The 22,967-nt window shown below is 43.0% G+C and overlaps 3 protein-coding genes and 1 non-coding gene across 45 annotated transcripts in view, besides 3 other annotated features; 2 read left to right on the top strand and 2 right to left on the bottom strand.

Moving 5' to 3' along the window:
• The window catches only part of WIPI1 (WD repeat domain, phosphoinositide interacting 1), a 36,216-nt gene extending 29,276 nt beyond the window's left edge, over positions 1 to 6,940 (top strand). For all 5 annotated transcript variants that reach the window (NR_135471.2, NR_135470.2, NM_001320772.2 and 2 more), the window contains 3 exons: positions 968 to 1,086; positions 2,046 to 2,146; positions 6,401 to 6,940. Coding sequence is in view for 3 of the 5 variants with exons in the window: in NM_001320772.2 (NP_001307701.1) it covers positions 968 to 1,086; positions 2,046 to 2,146; positions 6,401 to 6,448 (268 nt within the window). In the remaining 2 variants the exon portion in view is untranslated. The remainder of the gene's footprint in view (positions 1 to 967; positions 1,087 to 2,045; positions 2,147 to 6,400) is intronic.
• The window catches only part of PRKAR1A (protein kinase cAMP-dependent type I regulatory subunit alpha), a 137,694-nt gene extending 123,096 nt beyond the window's left edge, over positions 1 to 14,598 (bottom strand). Inside the window, exon 1 of the mRNA NM_001278433.2 lies at positions 14,426 to 14,598. The gene's annotated coding sequence lies outside the window, so the exon portion shown is untranslated. The remainder of the gene's footprint in view (positions 1 to 14,425) is intronic.
• The window catches only part of ARSG (arylsulfatase G), a 192,850-nt gene that overhangs the window by 23,799 nt on the left and 146,084 nt on the right, over positions 1 to 22,967 (bottom strand). For 17 of the 38 annotated variants that reach the window (XM_047435632.1, NM_014960.5, XM_047435649.1 and 14 more), the window contains one exon: positions 5,490 to 8,032. The exons of 9 other annotated variants lie outside the window; for them this stretch is intronic. In XM_047435632.1, coding sequence (XP_047291588.1) covers positions 7,758 to 8,032 — 275 coding nt within the window. In that variant the 3' untranslated portion in view covers positions 5,490 to 7,757. Of the gene's footprint in view, positions 1 to 5,489; positions 8,033 to 22,967 lie in introns of those variants that run through there. 12 more of the 38 variants (XR_007065287.1, XM_047435639.1, NM_001352904.2 and 9 more) reach the window with 2 other exon arrangements.
• Positions 3,673 to 3,770, top strand: MIR635 (microRNA 635). The gene has a single exon (NR_030365.1). It is a non-coding gene; the product is annotated as a microRNA 635 (primary transcript).
• Positions 13,785 to 14,441: an enhancer, noted in NCBI's record as "H3K27ac-H3K4me1 hESC enhancer chr17:66409921-66410577 (GRCh37/hg19 assembly coordinates)". NCBI's record gives its function as "activates a minimal SCP1, AML or CMV promoter by ChIP-STARR-seq in naive H9 embryonic stem cells {active_cell/tissue: H9 hESC(naive)}" and the evidence as "EXISTENCE:reporter gene assay evidence [ECO:0000049][PMID:30033119]".
• Positions 14,240 to 14,289: an enhancer, noted in NCBI's record as "active region_12649". NCBI's record gives its function as "activates an Ori minimal core promoter by ATAC-STARR-seq in GM12878 lymphoblastoid cells {active_cell/tissue: GM12878}" and the evidence as "EXISTENCE:reporter gene assay evidence [ECO:0000049][PMID:35858748]".
• Positions 14,442 to 15,100: an enhancer, noted in NCBI's record as "H3K27ac-H3K4me1 hESC enhancer chr17:66409262-66409920 (GRCh37/hg19 assembly coordinates)". NCBI's record gives its function as "activates a minimal SCP1, AML or CMV promoter by ChIP-STARR-seq in naive H9 embryonic stem cells {active_cell/tissue: H9 hESC(naive)}" and the evidence as "EXISTENCE:reporter gene assay evidence [ECO:0000049][PMID:30033119]".

The following is a 22,967-nucleotide window of genomic DNA, read 5'->3' as shown; positions in this document are numbered from 1 at the left end:
CTGCATGGAATTGAAAAGTGCTCTACCAGTCATGTTGACTCACGCCTGTAATCCCAATACTTTGGGAGGCCAAGGAGGGCGGATGGCTTGAGCTCAGGAGTTTGAGACCAGCCTGAGAAACATGGTGAAACCCCATCCTTACAAAAAGAAAAAATATAAAAATTAGCCAGGCATGGTGGTACATGCCTTGTAGTCCCAGCTACTTGGGAGGCAGAGGTGGGGGGATCACCTGAGCCCAGGAAGGTCAAGACTGCAGTAAGCTGTGGTCACACCACTGCACTGCAGCCTGGGCAACAGAGTGAGACCCTGTCTCAAAAAAGAAAAGAAAACAAAAGAAAAGCACTCATGCCTTCTGTGAACAGGCACAGACTGAGCTCTCCTGCTGTGGCCAGGGCACCAGAGCTGCCACCGCCCCCCACCGATGGCTGCTCTCCTTGCTAGCATGTCCTCACCTGTGTGTACTGGGAAGAGCAGAGGACTAATCTTTGTCTAGCCAATGTAAGAGAAAGAGGCCATTTTGACGGTGTGTGACTGCCCCTGGCAGTTGCAGGTCACTTCAGCTCATCCTGGCCCAGCAGCGTGTGGGTAGGTCTACAATTTAAACCCACAGAGTTGGCGGGCGGATCACCTGAGGTCAGGAGTTCGAGACCAGCCTGGCCAACATGGTGAAACCCAGTCTCTACTAAAAATACAAAAATTAGCCAGGCGCTGTGGTGGGTGCCTGTAGTCGCAGCTACTCGGGAGGCTGAGGCAGGAGAATCGCTTGAACCCAGGAGGCGGAGGTTGCAGTGAGCCGAGATTGCGCCACTGCACTCCAGCCTGGGCAATAGAGCAAGACCCTGCCTCAAAAATAAATAAATAACCCACAGAGCTGAGCACAGGCTTCTTCATGCTTTTCCTTTGGAAGGTGTCCTAGATATATGATGATTTCTTTTTTCTTTCACCTCCTCTTGATTGTCACAAGTAGCTTGCTTGGCTCAGGAACAACAGAAGAGAATAAAGAAAATGACCTCAGACCTTCCTTACCTCAGTCTTATGCAGCGACCGTAGCCAGACCAAGTGCATCTTCAGCCTCCACGGTGCCAGGTGGGTGGACACGGGGCCAACAGGGGAGCATCTCCAACAGTGACCTCCCTCCCCTTCTCCCTGCACGCTCCCTCCCCTTCCCCCTTCACTGTTACCTGGGGGTGGAGTGCCCTCCCTCCCCTTCCCCCTTCACTGTTACCTGGGGGTGGAGTGCTCTCCTTGAATTTTTTATTTTCTCACAGGTGAGGCCATGGTAATAGCCTTTAAACCTGGGACCCTCAACCTGGCAAGGCATCACACGATACGGTCTTTTTCCTAACAAGTGGTGTTAACCCTTTGCCTCTTCAAAAATTCCAATGAGGCCAGGCACATTGGCTCACACCTGTAATCCCAGCACTTTGGGAGGCTGAGGCCAGCGGATCACTGGAGGCCAGGGGTTTGAGACCAGCCTAGCCAACATGGTGAAACCCCATCTCTACTTAAAAAATAGAAAAATTAGCTGGGCATGTTGGCACACACTTGCAATCCCAGCTACTCCGGAGGCTGAGGCAGGAGAATTGCTTGAACCAGAGAGGCGGAGATTGCAGTGAGCTGAGATCATACCACTGCACTCCAGCCTGGGTGAAAGAGTGAGACTCTGTTTCAAAAAATAAAAACTAAACTAAAATTTCCAAAGAGCCTGTAGTCCTAGCCACTCAGGAAGTTAAATTGAGGCAGAAGGATCCCTTAGGCTCAGGAGTTCGAGACCAGCCTGGGCAACATACTGAGACCCTACCTCAACAAAGAAAAATTCAAAGAGGTAGGATGCCTCAGGCATCTGAAGTGGAAAGGCAGGTCAGGCTTAAAGATGGCAGATGGTGAGGATTATGACTTGTCCTAGGCACAGTACCTCCAGGGGGAAGACAGACAGCCCCTTTGCTTCCTTTGCCCTTTATTTGAGCCCCCGCTCCCCACCCGCCAGGTCATGGCATAAAAGCAGATCCCCAGTGCTTGTTTCATGTCTCTTTCTTGGTTTCCAGGTTATTCTGAGGACGGCGGGGCGCTGCGAGGAGAAGTTATTCCTGAACATGAGTTTGCGACGGGACCAGTGTGTCTTGATGATGAGAATGAGTTTCCTCCTGTGAGCATTAGGAACCCGTAACTGGGCGGCTCAGTCTGTGTGCTTAGAAGGAAACCTTCGCCTCATACGAGAGGCAGAGTCCCTTTCCCTGTTTTCTAATCTATAACAACTAATTCTCTGCTCTAGTATTTGGAAAGCCATAGGATATTTGTTGTACTGTGTGCTTCGAATCCTACAGAGTAGGCTTTAGGTGTCGAGCTAAACCCTGATGGCATTAGAGTCACCGAATACTAATCCAGGGAGTCTTGGTGGCCTCCCTCCAGCCAGAGGCCTGCGATCCCTTACTTTGCTTCTGTAGCACTGACTTTGCTGCCTGGAAGGTAGGAACACGTGACTTGTCTAAAACTTATTTTCCTGAGGCTCCCATGGATGCGTTTGCAGAATGCTGCCTTCCTTGTGCTGGAGGGGATGGTTTCAGAGGGCTGGGCTGTGTGTTCAGGACTCTGAGCTGAGTTGCTGCACTCTGTGAACCAGCTTGACCCTCACTTACCTGCAGCTCTGGCCGGCAGACCCGCACCTCCCCAGCAGTTGCAGACACTCATTAAGAAACAAGTGGCCGGGTGCGGTGGCTCACACCTGTAATCCCAGCACTTTGGGAGGCCGAGGCTGGAGGATTGCTTGAGCCCAGGAGTTAGAGACCAGCCTGGGCAACACAGCAAAACCCCATCTCCACCAAAAAAAAAAAAAAAAAAGAAAAGAAAAAATTAGCCGGGTGTGGTGTCACGTGCCTGTAGTCCCAGCTATTCGGGACGCTGAGATGGGAGGATCACCTGAGCCTGGGAGGTCGAGGCTGCAGTGAGCTCTGATTGTGCCACTGCACTCCAGCCTAGGTGAAAGAGTGAGACTCTATCTCAAAAAGAAAAGAAAAGCAATTGTGTGCTCTGTGGAGGGCAGCAGGTGCAGGGCAGGAGCTTGCCCGAGCACCTTTAGCTGGGTTTCCCAGCAACCTGCTCAGCCTGTTCCCACAGCTAGGGCCCTCGGGGCTGGCTGAGTGCTGGGCGTGGCTTCTTCCATCACCTGGAACTGAAGACAAGATTCCCTCCTGAGAGCCTGCTGGGGCTTCCTTAACTGCTGATTCTTCAGGCTCCCATCTGGAGTAACATATAGACCGCTCTTGTGAGCTTCAGTCAAAACATCCCAGATAGTCAACCTGAAATCATTTCGAGATGGAAGTACTGATTTGTTTTGTTTTGTTTTTGAGACGGAGTCTTGCTCTGTCACCCAGGCTGGAGTGCAGTGGTGTGATCTCGGCTCGCTGCAGCCTCTGCCTCCTGGGTTCAAGCAATTCTCCTGCCTCAGCCTCCCGAGTAGCTGCAATTACAGATGTGCGCCACCATGCCCAACTAATATTTTGTATTTTTAGTAGAGACGGGGTTTCACCATGTTGGTCACGCTGGTCTCAAACTCCTGACCTCAAGTGATCCACTCGTCTCGGCCTCCCAAAGTGCTAGGATTACAGGCGTGAACCGCCGCACCCGGCCGGAAGTAGTGTTTGGGCCAAGACTTGGAGCATCAGCTCCTAGAGCCAGAGAGGAGCTGCCACTTGGGCACTGAAACAATGTCCATTAGGCTTTGTTATGGAAACTTCTCCTGATCATTGTTTTGTGTCCATTGAGCTTCCAATTGTAAAAGGATGGAGTGCAGGTCTGGCTTCTTTCTCCCGCAGATCCGTGGAACCCTCTAGTGAGCACATTTGGCTTAGAAAACAAAGCTGCGGTGGGGCCCTGCATGCAGGGCTGGGGCTGTTGTTTTGTGATTTCCCACATCGGCTCTGCGGGTCGGTCGCAGCGTGAGCTTTTACATTTCTGGCTTTCAATAGGCAGGTTGTCAGAGACGTGGCTGGCAAGTGAAGTTTATATCTCAGTGGCGGAGAGCAGTTGTTCTTAAAAATACTAATTATAAACTTCAAAACCTCTGTTGGCATGCTGCCTAACTATAAACCAGTTGTTTTACCTTTGGGTTCTCATGGCCCCAACTGGCCTTAAAGGGCGTTCTTCTGCACCCTCAAGAGGCGGTGGTTATTTACCTGAAGTCGAGGCTTCCAGGATCCAGAGCACTCTAGGTCAGACACCGTGGGGACAAATGTGACCATTCTACTCTGTCAGGGTTTACCACATCCAGACACTCACTAGGTTCCGTTTCACTAATTTTGGTAAAAGTCTGTAACTACTATAAAATATTATTAGATTCTTAATTGTAATCGCAGTAAGCCTTGCAACCTCTTATAGTTACAGAATTGGGGTAATGTGGATATTAGTATCTAGGAGGTAGTTCCTTGCCAAAGAACCTGTATAAAATAATAGGTACCTTGTGCAGATCATTTATTTGGGGTAAAAAGGAAAAGGGGAGGTGCTTAATTGAAGAACCAGTAAGAAAGTTTGTCCTGAGGCCTGTGTGCCCATTCAGTGCCAGGAAGCTGGGCATGAGCCAGTTGTTTCTTCTCCCTCCTAAGGACCAAATGAGTGAAAGTTGGTTGAAATTGCATCAGGAATTCTTATTTATACGCAAGAAATACTTCCTGCCAGTGAGAGTGGTCACTGAACAAGGTCCCTAGAACAGGTGTTAGACCCTTGTGAGTGTCAAGCAGCCCCTGTGTGCAGGGCTGTGTCGTGGCAGCCACCAACCTCTCAGTCTGCCCTCCAGCCTGCAGGTAGATGGTGATGAGGGGCAGTGCTCCCACTAAGGCACTGTCTCAGTAGCAGGCAGGCTTCTCCATCTCACCATGTAAGGACCAGAGGCATGCATGCTCCTGGGATGCTCTATCAATATGGCCCATCTCAGTCATGCCTGAATTGGCAGAAATGTTCAGCGAGGGATGCTAGGGAACTTCCTCTCTGTCTCCTTATTCTGAATTGTCATGCCTATTGCAAATCTCTGTGCAGAATTCACATCTTTACTCACATTCCTTAAAATCTTCTAGGACCACAAAAGGCTCTTGGAGTCTCAGCTTGGTTAAAATCGCCTCTCTTGTAGTGACGAACAAACATAGGCTTGCCTGAGTAGTCTGCTACAGGAGCTCTGTGAGCCGCTGCCTTAAGAACGCGGGTCATCACTAGTGATCTTTTCAGAACACATACTGACACTTCCCTGCGTAGGATCACGCTTGCCTCCTTGGGATTTACTTTTGCTCTGAGAGCAGTGAAAGAAAAGAGACTTGATCATTTCTGGTGCCTTAGAAAGCTGCTACATTCGGGAGGATGAGAAGCTTTTGTTTCAGGAACAAGCCAACCTGTACAAGTCTCTGTATTTTGTGAGACTAGTCCCAATCTTGTGAGCAAGAGTCAGGAAATCAGGCCCAAGGGTATAAACTGACCTTCCCTTTTTTTTTTTTTTTTTTTTTTTTGAGATGATAGAGTCTCACTCTGTCCCTCAGGCTAGAATGTGTTGGCGTGATCTCCACTCACTGCAACCTCCACCTCCTAGGTTCAAGTGATTCTAGTGCCTCAGCCTCCCAAGTAGCTGGGGTTTCAGGCATGCTACCATGCCCAGCTAAATTTTGTATTTTTAGTAGAGACAGGATTTCACCATGTTGGCCAGGCTGGTCTCAAACTCCTGACCTCAGGTGATCACCCCCCTCAGCCTCCTAAAGTGCTGGGATTACAGGTGTGAGCCACTGCGCCCAGCCTAAACTGACTTTTTTTTTTTTGAGATGGAGTCTTGCTCCATCGCCCAGGCTGGAGTGCAGTGGTGCGATCTCGGCTCACTGCAGCCTCCACCTCCCCGGTTCAAGCGATTCTCTCCTGCCTCAGCCTCCCGAGTAGCTGGGATTACAGGTGAGCGCCACCATGCCCGGCTAATTTTTGTATTTTTTAGTAGCGATGGGGTTTCACCATGTTGGCCAGGCTGGTCTCAAACTCCTGACCTAGTGATCCACCCACCTCAGCCTCCCAAAGTTCTGGGATTACAGGCGTGAGCCACCGCGCCCAGCCTAAACTGACTTTTTAATAGTGATTGAGCAGTCCATGTTTACAAGTAAGATGAGCCTTTTAAAAATATATACATATACATATAAATACATACACACACACACAGAGACATTTTTATAGTCAGTATTTTCTAGAACTGTGTCATACTTGTCTACACCTAAATAAGCTGGGTGACCATTCTGTGGCCATGAGCGAGTTCAGACAGAAAAATTCCACAGTGCCCAGCCTCTCCCTGCTCACTCTGCATGGGCACAGACCTGTTGATAATGCACCTGCCTACCAGCCTCTTCCTGAGAAGAGTAAGGCCATTCTGTTTTGATTTTGGTAGATAATCTTGTGCCGTGGAAATCAGAAGGGCAAAACGAAGCAGTCATGATGAGAAGCACACCTCAGAAATCAGGACATCCCCCCTATCAGGTGGTTTTGGAGAAAACAAGGAAGGCGGAAGAATGGAGTGCAATTGTGTGAGCAGAAAGGGGGGCAGGAATCCCGGGTGCTCCACTGCTTAAACCACAGGACCTGGTTAACTCCTCACCAAGCTTCCCACGACCCTGGTTGCCAATGGGCGCGGGAGACATTGTATACACATCATGCTATTTAAAATACGTTCAAACTATAGTGTAAATGCTAATTAACCATATTGGTATATAACCGGAATTTTATATTAAAAGGGGCCTCCTTTTTAAATATATGCCGTGTAAAAAATGTACTTATAGGAACATCTCTTTGAATTGTATTTCTTGTATATTACATACTTAGAGAGAGACTCTTTTAGCCAGGCAAAGTCTTTTTTGGCTGTGGCTGGAATAAATCATTTATTACTTGGGAGTCCCATTTTGGACACTAATAATAAAATCATGGCAATGCATTTTTGAGGTTTTTATATATTTTTTTGTTTCCTTGTGGTTATAGGGGACAGGAGGAACTCTTTAACTTCTTTTAAATGCAGTCATTTCACCCTTAAAAGGAGAGGAAGGGGATTGGGCCACAGACTTATCCATGGACTCGTCTGCTCTGAGATCTGGAAAACGACCTAACTTTGGTCTAAATCTGTGCTCCTCAAGGCATTGTTTGATAGAAATGTAGGATTTCAGGATCTACTCGAGCCCTACTGAGACGGAATCCGGATTCTCACAAGATCCCAGGTGATTTGTTTGCATATTAAAGATGGAGACCAGTGAGTACACTGGTTTGTGGAAGGAAAAAAAGAGAAAAGAGAGAGAAGCTCTGCCCTAAATACTAATTAGAATGGATTTACACCAAAATGACCAGAGAAACTGGGAACCAGAGAAACAAGGAAACTAAAATGTATTGAATGTCTGCTCTGTGTCAGGTAATTTGCCAGGCATTTTCATGTATGCCTTTATTTAACCCTCAAAATCAACTTGCAGGTTAGGTTAAACAATTGCCCAAGTTCAAAAGCTGGAGCTGGCACCTGTGCCTGACTCCAAAGCCCGTGTGCTTCCCATTAAGGCACACTCCCTGCCCAGAGCCAGCGCAGCTCAGCTGCTCTCGGGTCGGCGTGGAGGAGGGACAGGATACAGAAGGGATATGCAAGGCTAACTCCAAAACTAAACTCCAAGACTAAACTAAAGCGTGTGTTTGTAAAGAGGGTAAAAATGAAATTTGGAAGCAAACTTGCCTAATTTCCAGGTACTCCTCCTCGTGGAATAAAAATTGGTCTGTTATGCGGCTTGACAGCGGCAGGCAATTTGGTAGGGATTACAGCAGGGAGTTACTGAAGGGTCCTGAGTGTAATCTGCGCTGGAGATGTTGTCGTTGGCAATGTCTTGGAGGACGTCTGCAAGAACCTTTCTGACCTCGGGCAGCACAGCCTGGTACTCCGCACCACCTCTTTCTAGGGGCACAGCTTCTGCGGTATCGTCTTCCAGGTTGAAAATCAGAGGAAACTTATGCTGCAGCTCAGGCCCCGTGCTCCCATCACACGCCCTGGCTCCACCTAGAGAGGGAATGACAACAAATGCCTCGCTAACCCTGACAGTTGCCCTGTGTTGTAAAGACGAGAGCTGCGAGTGATTCTACATTAATTCAAACATACCAGATAACCAAATGTTCCAATGATGGCTCTCTCTGTCAAAGAAATATTACCTTGAGAATCTATTTGCTCCTTCCAGTGATGATCCTGTGGTCCAAAATGTTTTGCTTTTTTCATTTCTGTTTTTGTTTTTTGAGGCAGGGTCTGGCTTCGTTGCCCAGGCTGGAATGCAGTAGCGTGATCCTAGCTCACTGCAGCTTCAGCCTTTTTGGGCTCAAGTGATCCTCCCACTTCAGCCTCCCAAGTAGATGGGGCTACAGGCATGCACCACCACGCCCAACTTTTTTTTTTTTTTTCCAGAGACAGGGTCCCGCTATGTTCCTCAAGCTGGTCTCAAACTCCTGGCCTCAAGCAATCCTCCTGTCCCAGCCTCCCAAAATGCTGGGATTATCAGCAGGAACCACTGCAGCCACACTAAAATGATTTGGAAGTTCTCCTTGAACTCGCCTTCAGGGCCAGTAGAACATTCATTCAAGTATCTTTATTGACACAAAATCAGGATATAATTATTTTTTCAAGTTGGAGTCTCGCTCTGTCACCCAGGCTGGAGTGCAATGGCACAATCTTCAGCTCACTGCAACCTCTGCCTCCCAGGTTCAAGCAATTCTCCTGCCTCAGCCTCCTGAGTAGCTGGGATCACAGGCACCTGCCACCACGCTCGGCTAATTTTTGTATTTTTAGTAGAGATGGCGTTTCACCATATTGGCCAGGCTGGTCTGTTGGCCAGGCTGGTCTCGAACTCCTAACCTCATGATCTGCCCACTTCGGCCTCCCAAAGTGCTGGGATTACAGGCGTGAGCCACCACACCAGCCAGGATATAATTTTTTAAAGTATCTTTAACCTCTGCCCTTTAGGAGTAAATTTGATTTTTTTGAAAATCGATTTCTTGACTACCAATTGGTGAATCAAGTAGAAAGGCAGGTGAGTCATTTCACTTTGGGTTGAAGATGACAGTCTTACGTGGATTCGAATCTGGCTGTGAAAGCCATCCAGAAGAGGAAGGACAAAAATGTTTGGAATGATAGCAGCTTCCTTGGCTCTTTATGATTCCGATGACTTTTTTTTTTTTTTTTTGGCTTTGCTATAGAAAAAGCAGTTAAGGGTCTGATGGAAATAAATATGACATAATTAAATAAACAAAGGGAATTAAAGCAAAAGATAGCCCTCAAAATTACAAGAGTTCCTAAACACTGACTTTGCTTCTGAGCTTAGCAGCAGCCAAACATTAATGAGATAGAAACTTATCAGTTGCTCAGGAGAAGCAGAGCTTTTTCTGGCACTAAAATCTGAGAGAAATTCTTCCAGTGGCTCCTTCTCCTACAGGGGACCCTGTAGGATGGAATGCTCACTGGCATTCTTATGAAAAATAAAACTGAGATTAGGATGGTTCCACTGACGACTTCTTATCACATCCTTTACTATATGATGAGGGCAGATGCCAACATGCAACTCAATACAAGGAAGTCTATAGGGGCAAAGCCATACCACCTAAGGATTCAGCCTTCTGGTCCAATCTGGCCAGAAATAAAATTTGAAATATTTAGGAGAATGGGTAGATCTCAAAGCCTTTAGACAACCCTTTTTTATTACTGGTTTTCCACCTGTGGCTGAGAGTCAAGTTGATCAGTAGAGATTAATAGTTGTTGTCTTTGCCTACAGTTTGGAATAGAATTTGATTATTCTTCATTGCCAGTACAGGGCAGTGACATGAGCTTTGACAAACAGTTCATGCTAGGAGTAGAGACTGTGTCCCAGGACTGAGGGATCTGCCTAAGATCAAGGGAAAAATCTGAAAGACTCGTCCTAACAAAGTGTAAAACTAAGGCTTTATAAGTTCAAGGGAACTGACTACTGATTAGCTGCCAGTGAAAACAAAAATCAACACTCTCAGGTAACAGAAATCAGAATTGCTACAATGCATCACCAACAATGTCCAGCTTACAATTTTTAAGGACGACTAAATAGGAGACTCCCAGTTTCTAGTCTGGCACATAAGGAGGTCGGCAGTCATCACTTCATTCTAACAAGTAAAAAGCTGAACAAACTAAAAAATCAACAACTCAGCCGGGTGTGGTGGCTCACGCCTGTAATCCCAGCAGTTTGGGAGGTTGAGGCAGGCGGATCATGAGGTCAGGAGTTTGAGACCAGTCTGGCCAACATGGTAAAACCCCGTCTCTACTAAAAATATAAAAAATTATCTGGGCATGGTGGTGGGCACCTGTAATCCCGGCTACCTGGGAGGCTGAGGCAGGAGAACCACGTGAACCTGGGAGCCGAGATCGTGCCACTGCACTCCAGCCCAGGCAACAATGTGAGACTCCATCTCAAAAAAAAAAAAAAAAAAAAAAAAAAAAAAAATTCAGCAACTCTTATTAGGTCTTTTGGAGAAGTGAAGTCACAGGGCAAACTACTGCCCCCAAAATTAGAGAGACAGACAAGCAAATAGAAACAATCACAACTTAACAGAGCAGAAACCCACAAGCAGAAACCTCTGCAAGAACCAGTGCCAGGAGTAGGGAAGCCCTGAACTGTAATTGACAAATTGCTGGAGGCTCAGTGTGGACAAGTCTGAGAGATGAAAAACTCCAGTGGGGCCCAGTTATCAAGCGCCACCCCCCACCGCGGCACCCAAAACACAACACACTTTTGTGAGTTTTACCTCCAGGAGCTCAACCAAGTTCTTACAGTAAATACTGGAGAAAAATCTCTTCATCCTTCCAAAAGGGGTAGGAGAAAAGTAATTTTTAAATATACCAAAACATTCTAGTTTTCTTAACAAGGCCTGCCCTCAGGAGAAACTAATTTACCAGAGCTTAAATTACTTAGGTTTTTCTCACAGCCTAACTGACCTAAGGGTAGGGGGATACCCAGCTCTAGCCACTCTAGCTGTTCCACCTAAGGGGAGGGAAGGGATAGACTAAGAAGCACTTGTGAAGTTCACAGTCCAAGGGCCCAGGCTCACCAAAACTACTAAGACTTAATAATAACCTACCCAAATGAGAAGGAACCAGAAAACCAACTCTGGTAATTAATATGACAAAACAAGGCTCTTTGACACTCCCCAAAAAATCACACTAGCTCACCAGCAATGGATCCAAACCAAGAAAAAAATCCCTGATTAACCTGAAAAAGAATTCAGGAGGTTAGTTATTAAGCTAATTAGGGAGGCACCAGAGAAAGGTGAAGCCCAATGCAAGGAAATCCAAAAATCAATACAAGAAGTGAAGGGAGAAATATTCAAGGAAATAGATAGAATAAAGAAAAAACAGTTAAAACATCAGGAAACATTGGACATACTTCTAGTAATGCAAAATGCTCTGGAAAGTCTCAGCAATAGAATTGAACAAGTAGAAGAAAGAAATTCAGAGCTCGAAGACAAGGTCTTTGACTTAACCCAATCCAACAAAGACAAAGGAAAAAGAATAAGAAAATATGAACAAAGCCTCCAAGAAGGCTGGGATTATGTTAAACGACCAAATCTAAGAATAATTGGTGTTCCTGAGGAAGAAGAGAAATCTAAAAGTTTGGAAAACATATTTGGGGGAATAATCAAGGAAAACTTCCCTGGCCTTGCTAGAAACCTAGACATCCAAATACAAGAAGCTCAAAGAACACCTGGGAAATTCATTGCAAAAACATCACCAGGTAACCTATAAAGAAAAACATGAGACAAAAATACCAGGTATCCTATAAAGGAAAACCTATCAGGATTAACAGCAGATACCCTACAAGCTAGAAAGGACTGGGGCCATATCTTCAGCCTCCTCCATCAAAACAATTATCAGCCAAGAATTCTGTATCCAGCAAAAATAAGCGTCATATATGAAAGAAGGATACAAACAAATGCTGAGAAAATTCACCACTACCAAGTCACCACTACAAGAACTGCTAAAAGGAGCTCTAAATCTTGAATCAAATCCTGGAAACACATCAAAATGGAACCTCTTTAAAGCATAAAGCTCACAGGACCTATAAAACAAAAATACAATTTGAAAAGCAAAAACAAAAAAACCAAGGCACATGGGCAACAAATAGCATGAGGAATGGAATGGTACTTCACATCTCAATATTAACACTGAATGTAAATGGTCTAAATGCTCCACTTAAAAAAATACAAAACAGCAGAATGGATAAGATCACCAACCAACCATCTGCTGCCTTCGGGAGACTCATCTAACATATAAGGACTCGCATACATTTAAAGTAAAGGGGTAGAAAAAGATATTTCATGCAAATGAACACCAAAAGTAAGCAGGGGTAGCTATCTTATATCAGACAAAACCAACTTTAAAGCAACGGCAGTTAAAAAAGACAGAGACATTATACAATGGTAAAAGGCCGTGTCCAACAGGAAAACATCACAATCCTAAACATATATGCTCCTAACACTGGAGCTCCCAAATTTATAAAATAATTACTAATAACGTAAGAAATGAGATAGACGGCAACACAATAATAGTGGGGGACTTCAATACTCCACTGACAGCACTAGACAGGTCATCAAGAAAGAAAGTCAACAAAGAAACAATGGATTTAAACTATACCTTGTAACAAATGGACTTAACAGATATATACAGAACATTCCAACCAACAACTGCAGAATACACATTCTATTCAGTAGTGCATGGAACTTTCTCCAAGACAGACCATACAATAGGCCACAAAATGAGCCTCAATAAATTTAAGAAAATTGAAATTATATCAAGCACTCTCTCAGACCACAGTGGAATAAAACTGGAAATCCATTCCAAAGGAACCTTCAGAACCATGCAAATACATGGAAATTATATAACCTGCTCCTAAATGATCATTGAGTCAAAAATGAAATCAAGATGGAAATTTAAAAGTTCTTCAAACTGAATAATAGTGACACAACCTATCAAAACCTCTGGGATACAGCAAAGGAGGGGCTAAGGGGAAAGTTCATAGCCTTAAATGCCTACATCAAAAAGACTGAAAGAGCACAAACTGACATTCTAAGGTCATACCTCAAGGAACTAGAGAAACAAGAACAAACAAAACCCAGCAGACAAAAGGAAATAACCAAGATCAGAGCAGAACTAAATGAAATTGAAACAAAAAAATAAAAAAGATAAATGAAACACAAAGCTGGTTCTTTGAAAATATGAATAAAATTGATATGCTGTTAGCAAGATTAACCAAGAAAAGAAGAGAGAAAATCCAAATAAACTCAATAAGAAACAAAACAGGAGATATTACAACAGACATCACAAAAATACAAAAGATCATTCAAGGCTACTATGAACACCTTTGCATTTAAACTAAAAAACCTAGAAGAGATGGATAAATTCCTGGAAAAATACAACCCTCCTAGCTTAAATCAGGAAGAATTAGATACCCTGAACAAACCAATAACAAGCAGCGAGATTAAAATGGTAATTTTTAAATTACCAACAACAACAACAACAAAAGTCTAGGACCAGATGGATCCACAGCAGAATTCCACCAGACATTCAAAGAAGAATTGGTACCAACCCTTTTGACACTATTCCACATGACAAAGAGGGAACCCTCCCTAATTCATTCTATGAAGCCAGAATCACCCTAATACTACAACCAGGAAAGGACATAACCAAAAAAGAAAACTACAGACTGATATCCCTCATGAACATAGATGCTAAAATCCTTAACAAAATACTAGCTAACTGAATCCAACAACATATCAAAAAGATAATTCACCATAATCAAGGGGGTTTCATACCAGGGATGCAAGGATAGTTTAACATATACCAATAAATGTGATATGTCAATAAATGTGATACACCACATAAACAGAATTAAAAACAAAAATCACATGGTCATCTCAATAGATGCAGTAAAAGCATTTGACAAAATCCAGCATCGCTTTATGATTAAAACTCAGCAAAATCGGCATACAAGGGACATACCTCAATGTAATAAAAGCCATCTATAAGAAACCCACAGCCAGGGGGAGGAGCCAAGATAGCCGAATAGGAACAGCTCCGGTCTACAGCTCCCAGCGTTGAGCGACGCAGAAGACGGGTGATTTCTGCATTTCCATCTGAGGTACCGGGTTCATCTCACTAGGGAGTGCCAGACAGTGGGCGCAGGTCAGTGGGTGCGCGCACCGTGCGCGAGCCGAAGCAGGACGAGGCATTGCCTCACTCGGGAAGCTCAAGGGGTCAGGGAGTTCCCTTTCCTAGTCAAAGAAAGGGGTGACAGACGGCACCTGGAAAATCGGGTCACTCCCACCCGAATACTGCGCTTTTCCGACAGGCTTAAAAAACGGCGCACCAGGAGATTACATCCCTTACCTGGCTCGGAGGGTCCTACGCCCACGGAGTCTCGCTGATTGCTAGCACAGCAGTCTGAGATCAAACTGCAAGGCGGCAGCGAGGCTGGGGGAGGGGCGCCTGCCATTGCCCAGGCTTGATTAGGTAACCAAAGCAGCCGGGAAGCTCGAACTGGGTGGAGCCCACCACAGCTCAAGGAGGCCTGCCTGCCTCTGTAGGCTCCACCTCTGGGGGCAGGGCACAGACAAACAAAAAGACAGCAGTAACCTCTGCAGACTTAAATGTCCCTGTCTGACAGCTTTGAAGAGAGCAGTGGTTCTCCCAGCACGCAGCTGGAGATCTGAGAACGGGCAGACTGCCTCCTCAAGTGGGTCCCTGACCCCCGAGCAGCCTAACTGGGAGGCACCCCCCAGCAGGGGCAGACTGACACCTCACAGGGCCCAGTACTCCAACAGACCTGCAGCTGAGGGTCCTGTCTGTTACAAGGAAAACTAACAAACAGAAAGGACATCCACACCAAAAACCCATCTGTACATCACCATCATCAAAGACCAAACGTAGATAAAACCACAAAGATGGGGAAAAAACAGAGCAGAAAAACTGGAAACTCTAAAAAGCAGAGCGCCTCTCCTCCTCCAAAGGAACGCAGTTCCTCACCAGCAACGGAACAAAGCTGGACAGAGAATAACTTTGACGAGCTGAGAGAAGAAGGCTTCAGACGATCAAATTACTCTGAGCTATGGGAGGACATTCAAACCAAAGGCAAAGAAGTTGAAAACTTTGAAAAAAATTTAGAAGAATGTATAACTAGAATAACCAATACAGAGAAGTGCTTAAAGGAGCTGATGGAGCTGAAAACCAAGGCTTGAGAACTACGTGAAGAATGCAGAAGCCTCAGGAGCCGGTGCGATCAACTGGAAGAAAGGGTATCAGCGATGGAAGATGAAATGAATGAAATGAAGCGAGAAGGGAAGTTTAGAGAAAAAAGAATAAAAAGAAATGAGCAAAGCCTCCAAGAAATATGGGACTATGTGAAAAAACCAAATCTACGTCTGATTGGTGTACCTGAAAGTGACGGGGAGAATGGAACCAAGTTGGAAAACACTCTGCAGGATATTATCCAGGAGAACTTCCCCAATCTAGCAAGGCAGGCCAACATTCAGATTCAGGAAATACAGAGAACGCCACAAAGATATTCCTCAAGAAGAGCAACTCCAAGACACATAATTGTCAGATTCACCAAAGTTGAAATGAAGGAAAAAATGTTAAGGGCAGCCAGAGAGAAAGGTCAGGTTACCCTCAAAGGGAAGCCCATCAGACTAACAGTGGATCTTTCGGCAGAAACTCTACAAGCCAGAAGAGAGTGGGGGCCAATATTCAACATTCTCAAAGAAAAGAATTTTCAACCCAGAATTTCATATCCAGCCAAACTAAGCTTCATAAGTGAAGGAGAAATAAAATACTTTACAGACAAGCAAATGCTGAGAGATTTTGTCACCACCAGGCCTGCCCTAAAAGAGCTCCTGAAGGAAGCACTAAACATGGAAAGGAACAACCGGTACCAGCCACTGCAAAATCATGCCAAAATGTAAAGGCCATCGAGACTAGGAAGAAACTGCATCAACTAACGAGCAAAATAACCAGCTAACATCATAATGACAGGATCAAATTCACATGTAACAATATTAACTTTAAATGTAAATGGACTAAATGCTCCAATTAAAAGACACAGACTGGCAAATTGGATAAAGAGTCAAGACCCATCAGTGTGCTGTATTCAGGAAACCTATCTCACCTGCAGAGACACACATAGGCTCAAAATAAAAGGATGGAGGAAGATCTACCAAGCAAATGGAAAACAAAAAAAGGCAGGGGTTGCAATCCTAGTCTCTGATAAAACAGACTTTAAACCAACAAAGATCAAAAGAGACAAGGCCATTACATAATGGTAAAGGGATCAATTCAACAAGAAGAGCTAACTATCCTAAATATATATGCACCCAATACAGGAGCACCCAGATTCATAAAGCAAGTCCTGAGTGACCTACAAAGAGACTTAGACTCCCACACATTAATAATGGGAGACTTTAACACCCCACTGTCAACATTAGACAGATCAACAAGACAGAAAGTCAACAAGGATACCCAGGAATTGAACTCAGCTCTGCACCAAGCGGACCTAACAGACATCTACAGAACTCTCCACCCCAAATCAACAGAATATACATTTTTTTCAGCACCACACCACACCTATTCCAAAATAGACCACATACTTGGAAGTAAAGCTCTCCTCAGCAAATGTAAAAGAACAGAAATTATAACAAACTATCTCTCAGACCACAGTGCAATCAAACTAGAACCCAGGATTAAGAATCTCACTCAAAACCGCTCAACTACATGGAAACTGAATAACCTGCTCCTGAATGACTACTGGGTACATAATGAAATGAAGGCAGAAATAAAGATGTTCTTTGAAACCAACAAGAACAAAGACACAACATACCAGAATCTCTGGGATGCATTCAAAGCAGTGTGTAGAGGGAAATTTATAGCACTAAATGCCCACAAGAGAAAGCAGAAAAGATCTAAAATTGACACCCTAACATCACAATTAAAAGAACCAGAAAAGCAAGAGCAAACACATTCAAAAGCTAGCAGAAGGCAAGAAATAACTAAAATCAGAGCAGAACTGAAGGAAATAGAGACACAAGAAACCCTTCAAAAAATCAGTGAATCCAGGAGCTGGTTTTTTGAAAGGATCAACAAAATTGATAGACCGCTAGCAAGACAAATAAAGAAAAAAAGAGAGAAGAATCAAATAGATGCAATAAAAAATGATAAAGGGAATATCACCACTGATCCCACAGAAATACAAACTACCATCAGAGAATACTACAAACACCTCTATGCAAATAAACTAGAAAATCTAGAAGAAATGGATAAATTCCTCGACACATACACTCTCCCAAGACTAAACCAGGAAGAAGCTGAATCTCTGAATAGACCAATAACAGGATCTGAAATTGTGGCAATAATCAATAGTTTACCAACCAAAAAGAGTCCAGGACCAGATGGATTCGCAGCTGAATTCTACCAGAGGTAGAAGGAGGAACTGGTACCATTCCTTCTGAAACTATTCCAATCAATAGAAAAAGAGGGAATCCTCCCTAACTTATTTTTTGAGGCCAGCATCATCCTGATACCAAAGCCAGGCAGAGACACAACCAAAAAAGAGAATTTTAGACCAATATCCTTGATGAACATTGATGCAAAAATCCTCAATAAAATACTGGCAAACCGAATCCAGCAGAACATCAAAAAGCTTATCCACCATGATCAAGTGGGCTTCATCCCTGGGATGCAAGGCTGGTTCAATATACGCAAATCAATAAATGTAATCCAGCATATAAACAGAACCAAAGACAAAAACCACATGATTATCTCAATAGATGCAGAAAAGGCCTTTGACAAAATTCAACAACCCTTCATGCTAAAAACTCTCAATAAATTAGGTATTGATGGGACATATTTCAAAATAATAAGAGCTATCTATGACAAACCCACAGCCAATATCATACTGAATGGGCAAAAACTGGAAGCATTCCCTTTGAAAACTGGCACAAGACAGGGATGCCCTCTCTCACCACTCCTATTCAACATAGTGTTGGAAGTTCTGGCCAGGGCAATTAGGCAGGAGAAGGAAATAAAGGGTATTCAATTAGGAAAAGAGGAAGTCAAATTGTCCCTGTTTGCAGACGACATCATTGTATATCTAGAAAACCCCATTGTCTCAGCCCAAAATCTCCTTAAGCTGATAAGCAACTTCAGCAAAGTCTCAGGATACAAAATCAATGTACAAAAATTACAAGCATTCTTATACACCAACAACAGACAAACAGAGAGCCAAATCATGAGTGAACTCCCATTCACAATTGCTTCAAAGAGAATAAAATACCTAGGAATCCAACTTACAAGGGATGTGAAGGACCTCTTCAAGGAGAACTACAAACTGCTGCTCAAGGAAATAAAAGAGGATACGAACAAATGGAAGAATATTCCATGCTCATGGGTAGGAAGAATCAATATCGTGAAAATGGCCATACTGCCCAAGGTAATTTACAGATTCAATGCCATCCCCATCAAGCTACCAATGACTTTCTTCACAGAATTGGAAAAAACTACTTTAAAGTTCATATGGAACCAAAAAAGAGCCCGCATCGCCAAGTCAATCCTCAGCCAAAAGAACAAAGCCGGAGGCATCACACTACCTGACTTCAAACTATACTACAAGGCTACAGTAACCAAAACAGCATGGTACTGGTACCAAAACAGAGATATAGATCAATGGAACAGAACAGAGCCCTCAGGAATAACGCCGCATATCTACAACTATCTGATCTTTGACAAACCTGAGAAAAACAAGCAATGGGGAAAGGATTCCCTATTTAATAAATGGTGCTGAGAAAACTGGCTAGCCATATGTAGAAAGCTGAAACTGGATCCCTTCCTTACACCTTATACAAAAATCAATTCAAGATGGATTAAAGACTTAAACGTTAGACCTAAAACCATAAAAACCCTAGAAGAAAACCTAGGCATTACCATTCAGGACATAGGCATGGGCAAGGACTTCATGTCTAAAACACCAAAAGCAATGGCAACAAAAGCCAAAATTGACAAATGGGATCTAATTAAACTAAAGAGCTTCTGCACAGCAAAAGAAACTACCATCAGAGTGAACAGGCAACCTACAAAATGGGAGAAAATTTTCACAACCTACTCATCTGACAAAGGGCTAATATCCAGAATCTACAATGAACTCAAACAAATTTACAAGAAAAAAACAACCCCATCAAAAAGTGGGCGAAGGACATGAACAGACACTTCTCAAAAGAAGACATTTATGCAGCCAAAAAACACATGAAAAAATGCTCACCATCACTGGCCATCAGAGAAATGCAAATCAAAACCACAGTGAGATACCATCTCACACCAGTTAGAATGGCAATCATTAAAAAGTCAGGAAACAACAAGTGCTGGAGAGGATGTGGAGAAATAGGAACACTTTTACACTGTTGGTGGGACTGTAAACTAGTTCAACCATTGTGGAAGTCAGTGTGGCGATTCCTCAGGGATCTAGAACTAGAAATACCATTTCACCCAGCCATCCCATTACTGCGTATATACCCAAAGGACTATAAATCATGCTGCTTTAAAGACACATGCACACGTATGTTTATTGCAGCATTATTCACAATAGCAAAGACTTGGAACCAACCCAAATGTCCAACAATGATAGACTGGATTAAGAAAATGTGGCCCATATACACCATGGAATACTATGCAGCCATAAAAAATGATGAGTTCATGTCCTTTGTAGGGACATGGATGAAATTGGAAATCATCATTCTCAGTAAACTATTGCAAGAACAAAAAACCAAACACCACATCTTCTCACTCATAGGTGGGAATTGAACAATGAGAACACATGGACACAGGAAGGGGAACATCACACTCTGGGGACTGTTGTGGGGTGGGGGGAGGGGGGAGGGATAGCATTGGGAGATATGCCTAATGCTAGATGACGAGTTAATGGGTGCAGCACACCAGCATGGCACATGTATACATATGTAACTAACCTGCACATTGTGCGCATGTACCCTAAAACTTAAAGTATAATAATAATAAAAAAAGAAATATGTAGAGAGTGTTTAGTTAATGCCAAAGGCTAGTGCACATTTGTTTTGCATAAGGAATAAATAATGCTTAATAAACAGTAATTTGCACCAATAAAAAAAAAAAAAAGAAACCCACAGCCAACATAATACTGAATGGGGAAAAGCTGATATCACTCCCTCTGAGAACTGAAACAAGAAAAGGATGCCCACTGTCACCACTCCTCTTCAACATACTACTGGAAGTCCTAGCCAGAGCAAGACAAGAGAAAGAAGTAAAGGGCATTCAAATCAGTAAAAGGGCATTCAAATCAGTAAAGAGGAAGTCAAACTCTCACTGTTTGCTGACAATATGATTGTTTACCTCGAAAACCCTAAAGACTCCTCCAGAAAGCTCCTAGAACTGATAACAGAATTCAGCTAAGTTTCTAGAAACAAGATTAATGTACACAAATCAGTAGCTCTTCTATACACCAACAGCAACCAAGCGGAGAGTCAAATCAAGAAGTCAACCCCTTTTACAATAGCTGAAAAAAAAAAAAACTTAGGAATATACCTAACCAAGGAGGTGAAAGACCTCTGCAAGGAAAACTACAAAACACTGCTGAAAGAAATCATAGATGACACAAACAAATGGAAACACATCTCATGCTCATGGATGGGTAGAATCAATATTGTGAAAATGACCATACTGCTAAAAACAATCTACAAATCCAACACAATCCCCATCAAAATACCACCATCATTCTTCACAGAATTAGAAAAATTCATACAAAAACAAAAAAGAGCTTGCATAGCCAAAGCAAGACTAAGCAAAAAGAACAAATCTGGAGGCATCACACTACCTGATTTCAAACTATACTATAAAGCCATAATCACCAAAACAGCATAGTACTGGTATAAAAATAGGCACATAGACCAATGGAACAGAATAGAGAACCCAGAAATAAACCCAAATAATTACAGCCAGCTGATCTTCGACAAAGCCAACACAAACATAAAGTGGGGAAAGGACACCCTTTTCAACAAACGGTGCTGGGATAATTGGCTAGCCACATGTAGGAGAATGAAACTGGATCCTCATCTCTCACCTTATACAAAAATCAACTCAACATGGATTAAGAACTTAAATCTAAGACCTGAAACTATAAAAATTCTAGAAGATAACATTGGAAAAGCCCTTCTAGACATTGGCTTAGGCAAGGATTTCATGAACAAGAACCCAAAAGCAAATGCAATAAGAACAAATATAAATAGCTAGGACATAATTAAACTAAAGATCTTTTGCACAGCAAAAGGAACAGTCAGCAGAGTAAACAGCCCACACAGTGGGAGAAAATCTTCACAATCTATACATCTGACAAAGGACTAATATCCAGAACCTACAAGGAACTCAAACAAATCAGCAAGAAAGAAACAATACCATCAAAAAGTGAGCTAAGCACATGAATAGACAAGCCTCAAAAGTATACAAATGGCCAACAAACATGAAAAAATGCTTAATGTCACTAATGATCAGAGAAATGCAAATCAAAACCACAATATGATACCACCTCATTCCTGCAAGAATAGCCATAATCAAAAAATCAAAAAACAGTAGATGTTGGCATGGATACGGTGAACAGGGAACACTTCTACACTGCTGATGGGAATGTAAACTAGTATAGCCGCTATGGAAAACAGATTCCTTAAAGAACTAAAAGCTGAACTACCATTTGATCCAGCAATCCCACTACTGGGTATCTACCCAGAGGACAAGAAGTCATTGTACGAAAAAGATACTTGCACACACATATTTATAGCAGCACAATTTGCAATTGCAAAAATGTGGAACCAGCCCAAATGTCCATCAATCAATGAGTGGATAAAGAAACTGTGATATATATATAATGGAATACTGCTCAGCCATAAAAAGGAATGAATCAACAGCATTTGCAGCAACCTGGGTGAGACTGGAGGCTATTATTCTAAGTGAAGTAACTCAGAAATGAAAAACCAAACATCGTATGTTCTCACTGATATGTGGGAGCTAAGTTATGAGGAGGACATAAAAGCATAAGAATGACACAGTGGACTTTGGGGACTTGGGGGTAAAGTGGGAGGGGGCAAGGGATGAAAGACTACAAATAGGGTGCAGTGTATACTGCTTGGGTGATGGGTGCACCAAAATTTCACAAATCACCGCTAAAGAACTTACTCATGTAACCAAACACCACGTGTATCCCAATAACCCATGGAAAAATAAAAAATAAATAAAGTGAAATGGTAGGAAAAGATTTTCCATGCAAATAGTAACCAAAAGATAGCAAGAGTGGTTGTACTAATATCATACAAAATAGACTTTAAATTTTAAAAAGGGTTATAAGAGACAAAGAGAAGGACATAATATATTAATAAAAGTTTCAATGCCATTTTTGCCATTTCTGTTCCACATAGTACTGGACATTCCAGCCAGAGCAATTCGGCAAGAAAAAGAAATAAAAAGCATCCAAATTGGAATGGAGGAAGTAAAATGACCTCCTTCAGATATGATATAATCTTATATGTAGAAAACCTAAATATTCCACATAAAAACAGAACTAATAAAGGAATTCAGCAAAATGGCAGGATTGAAATTCAGAACACAAAGCCAGTTATATTTCTATACACTAACAGTGAACAATCTGAAAACGAAATTGTGAAAACAACTTCATTTACAATGGCATCAAAAAGAGTAAAATAGGAATTAACACAAAAAAGTGAAAGACTTGCATAATGAAAACCATAAAATATAGCTGAAAGACATTAAAGAAGACATAAACAAATGGTTACATCCCATGTTCATGGATTGGAAGACTTAATATTGTTAAAATGTCAATACTACCCCAAGTGGTCTACAGGTTCAGTAC

This window comes from Homo sapiens, chromosome 17 (assembly GCF_000001405.40).
Source record: "Homo sapiens chromosome 17, GRCh38.p14 Primary Assembly".
Taxonomy (NCBI): Eukaryota; Metazoa; Chordata; class Mammalia; order Primates; family Hominidae; genus Homo; species Homo sapiens.
Note: the sequence above shows the minus strand (reverse complement) of the source record. Positions and strands in the feature narration are given on the sequence as shown.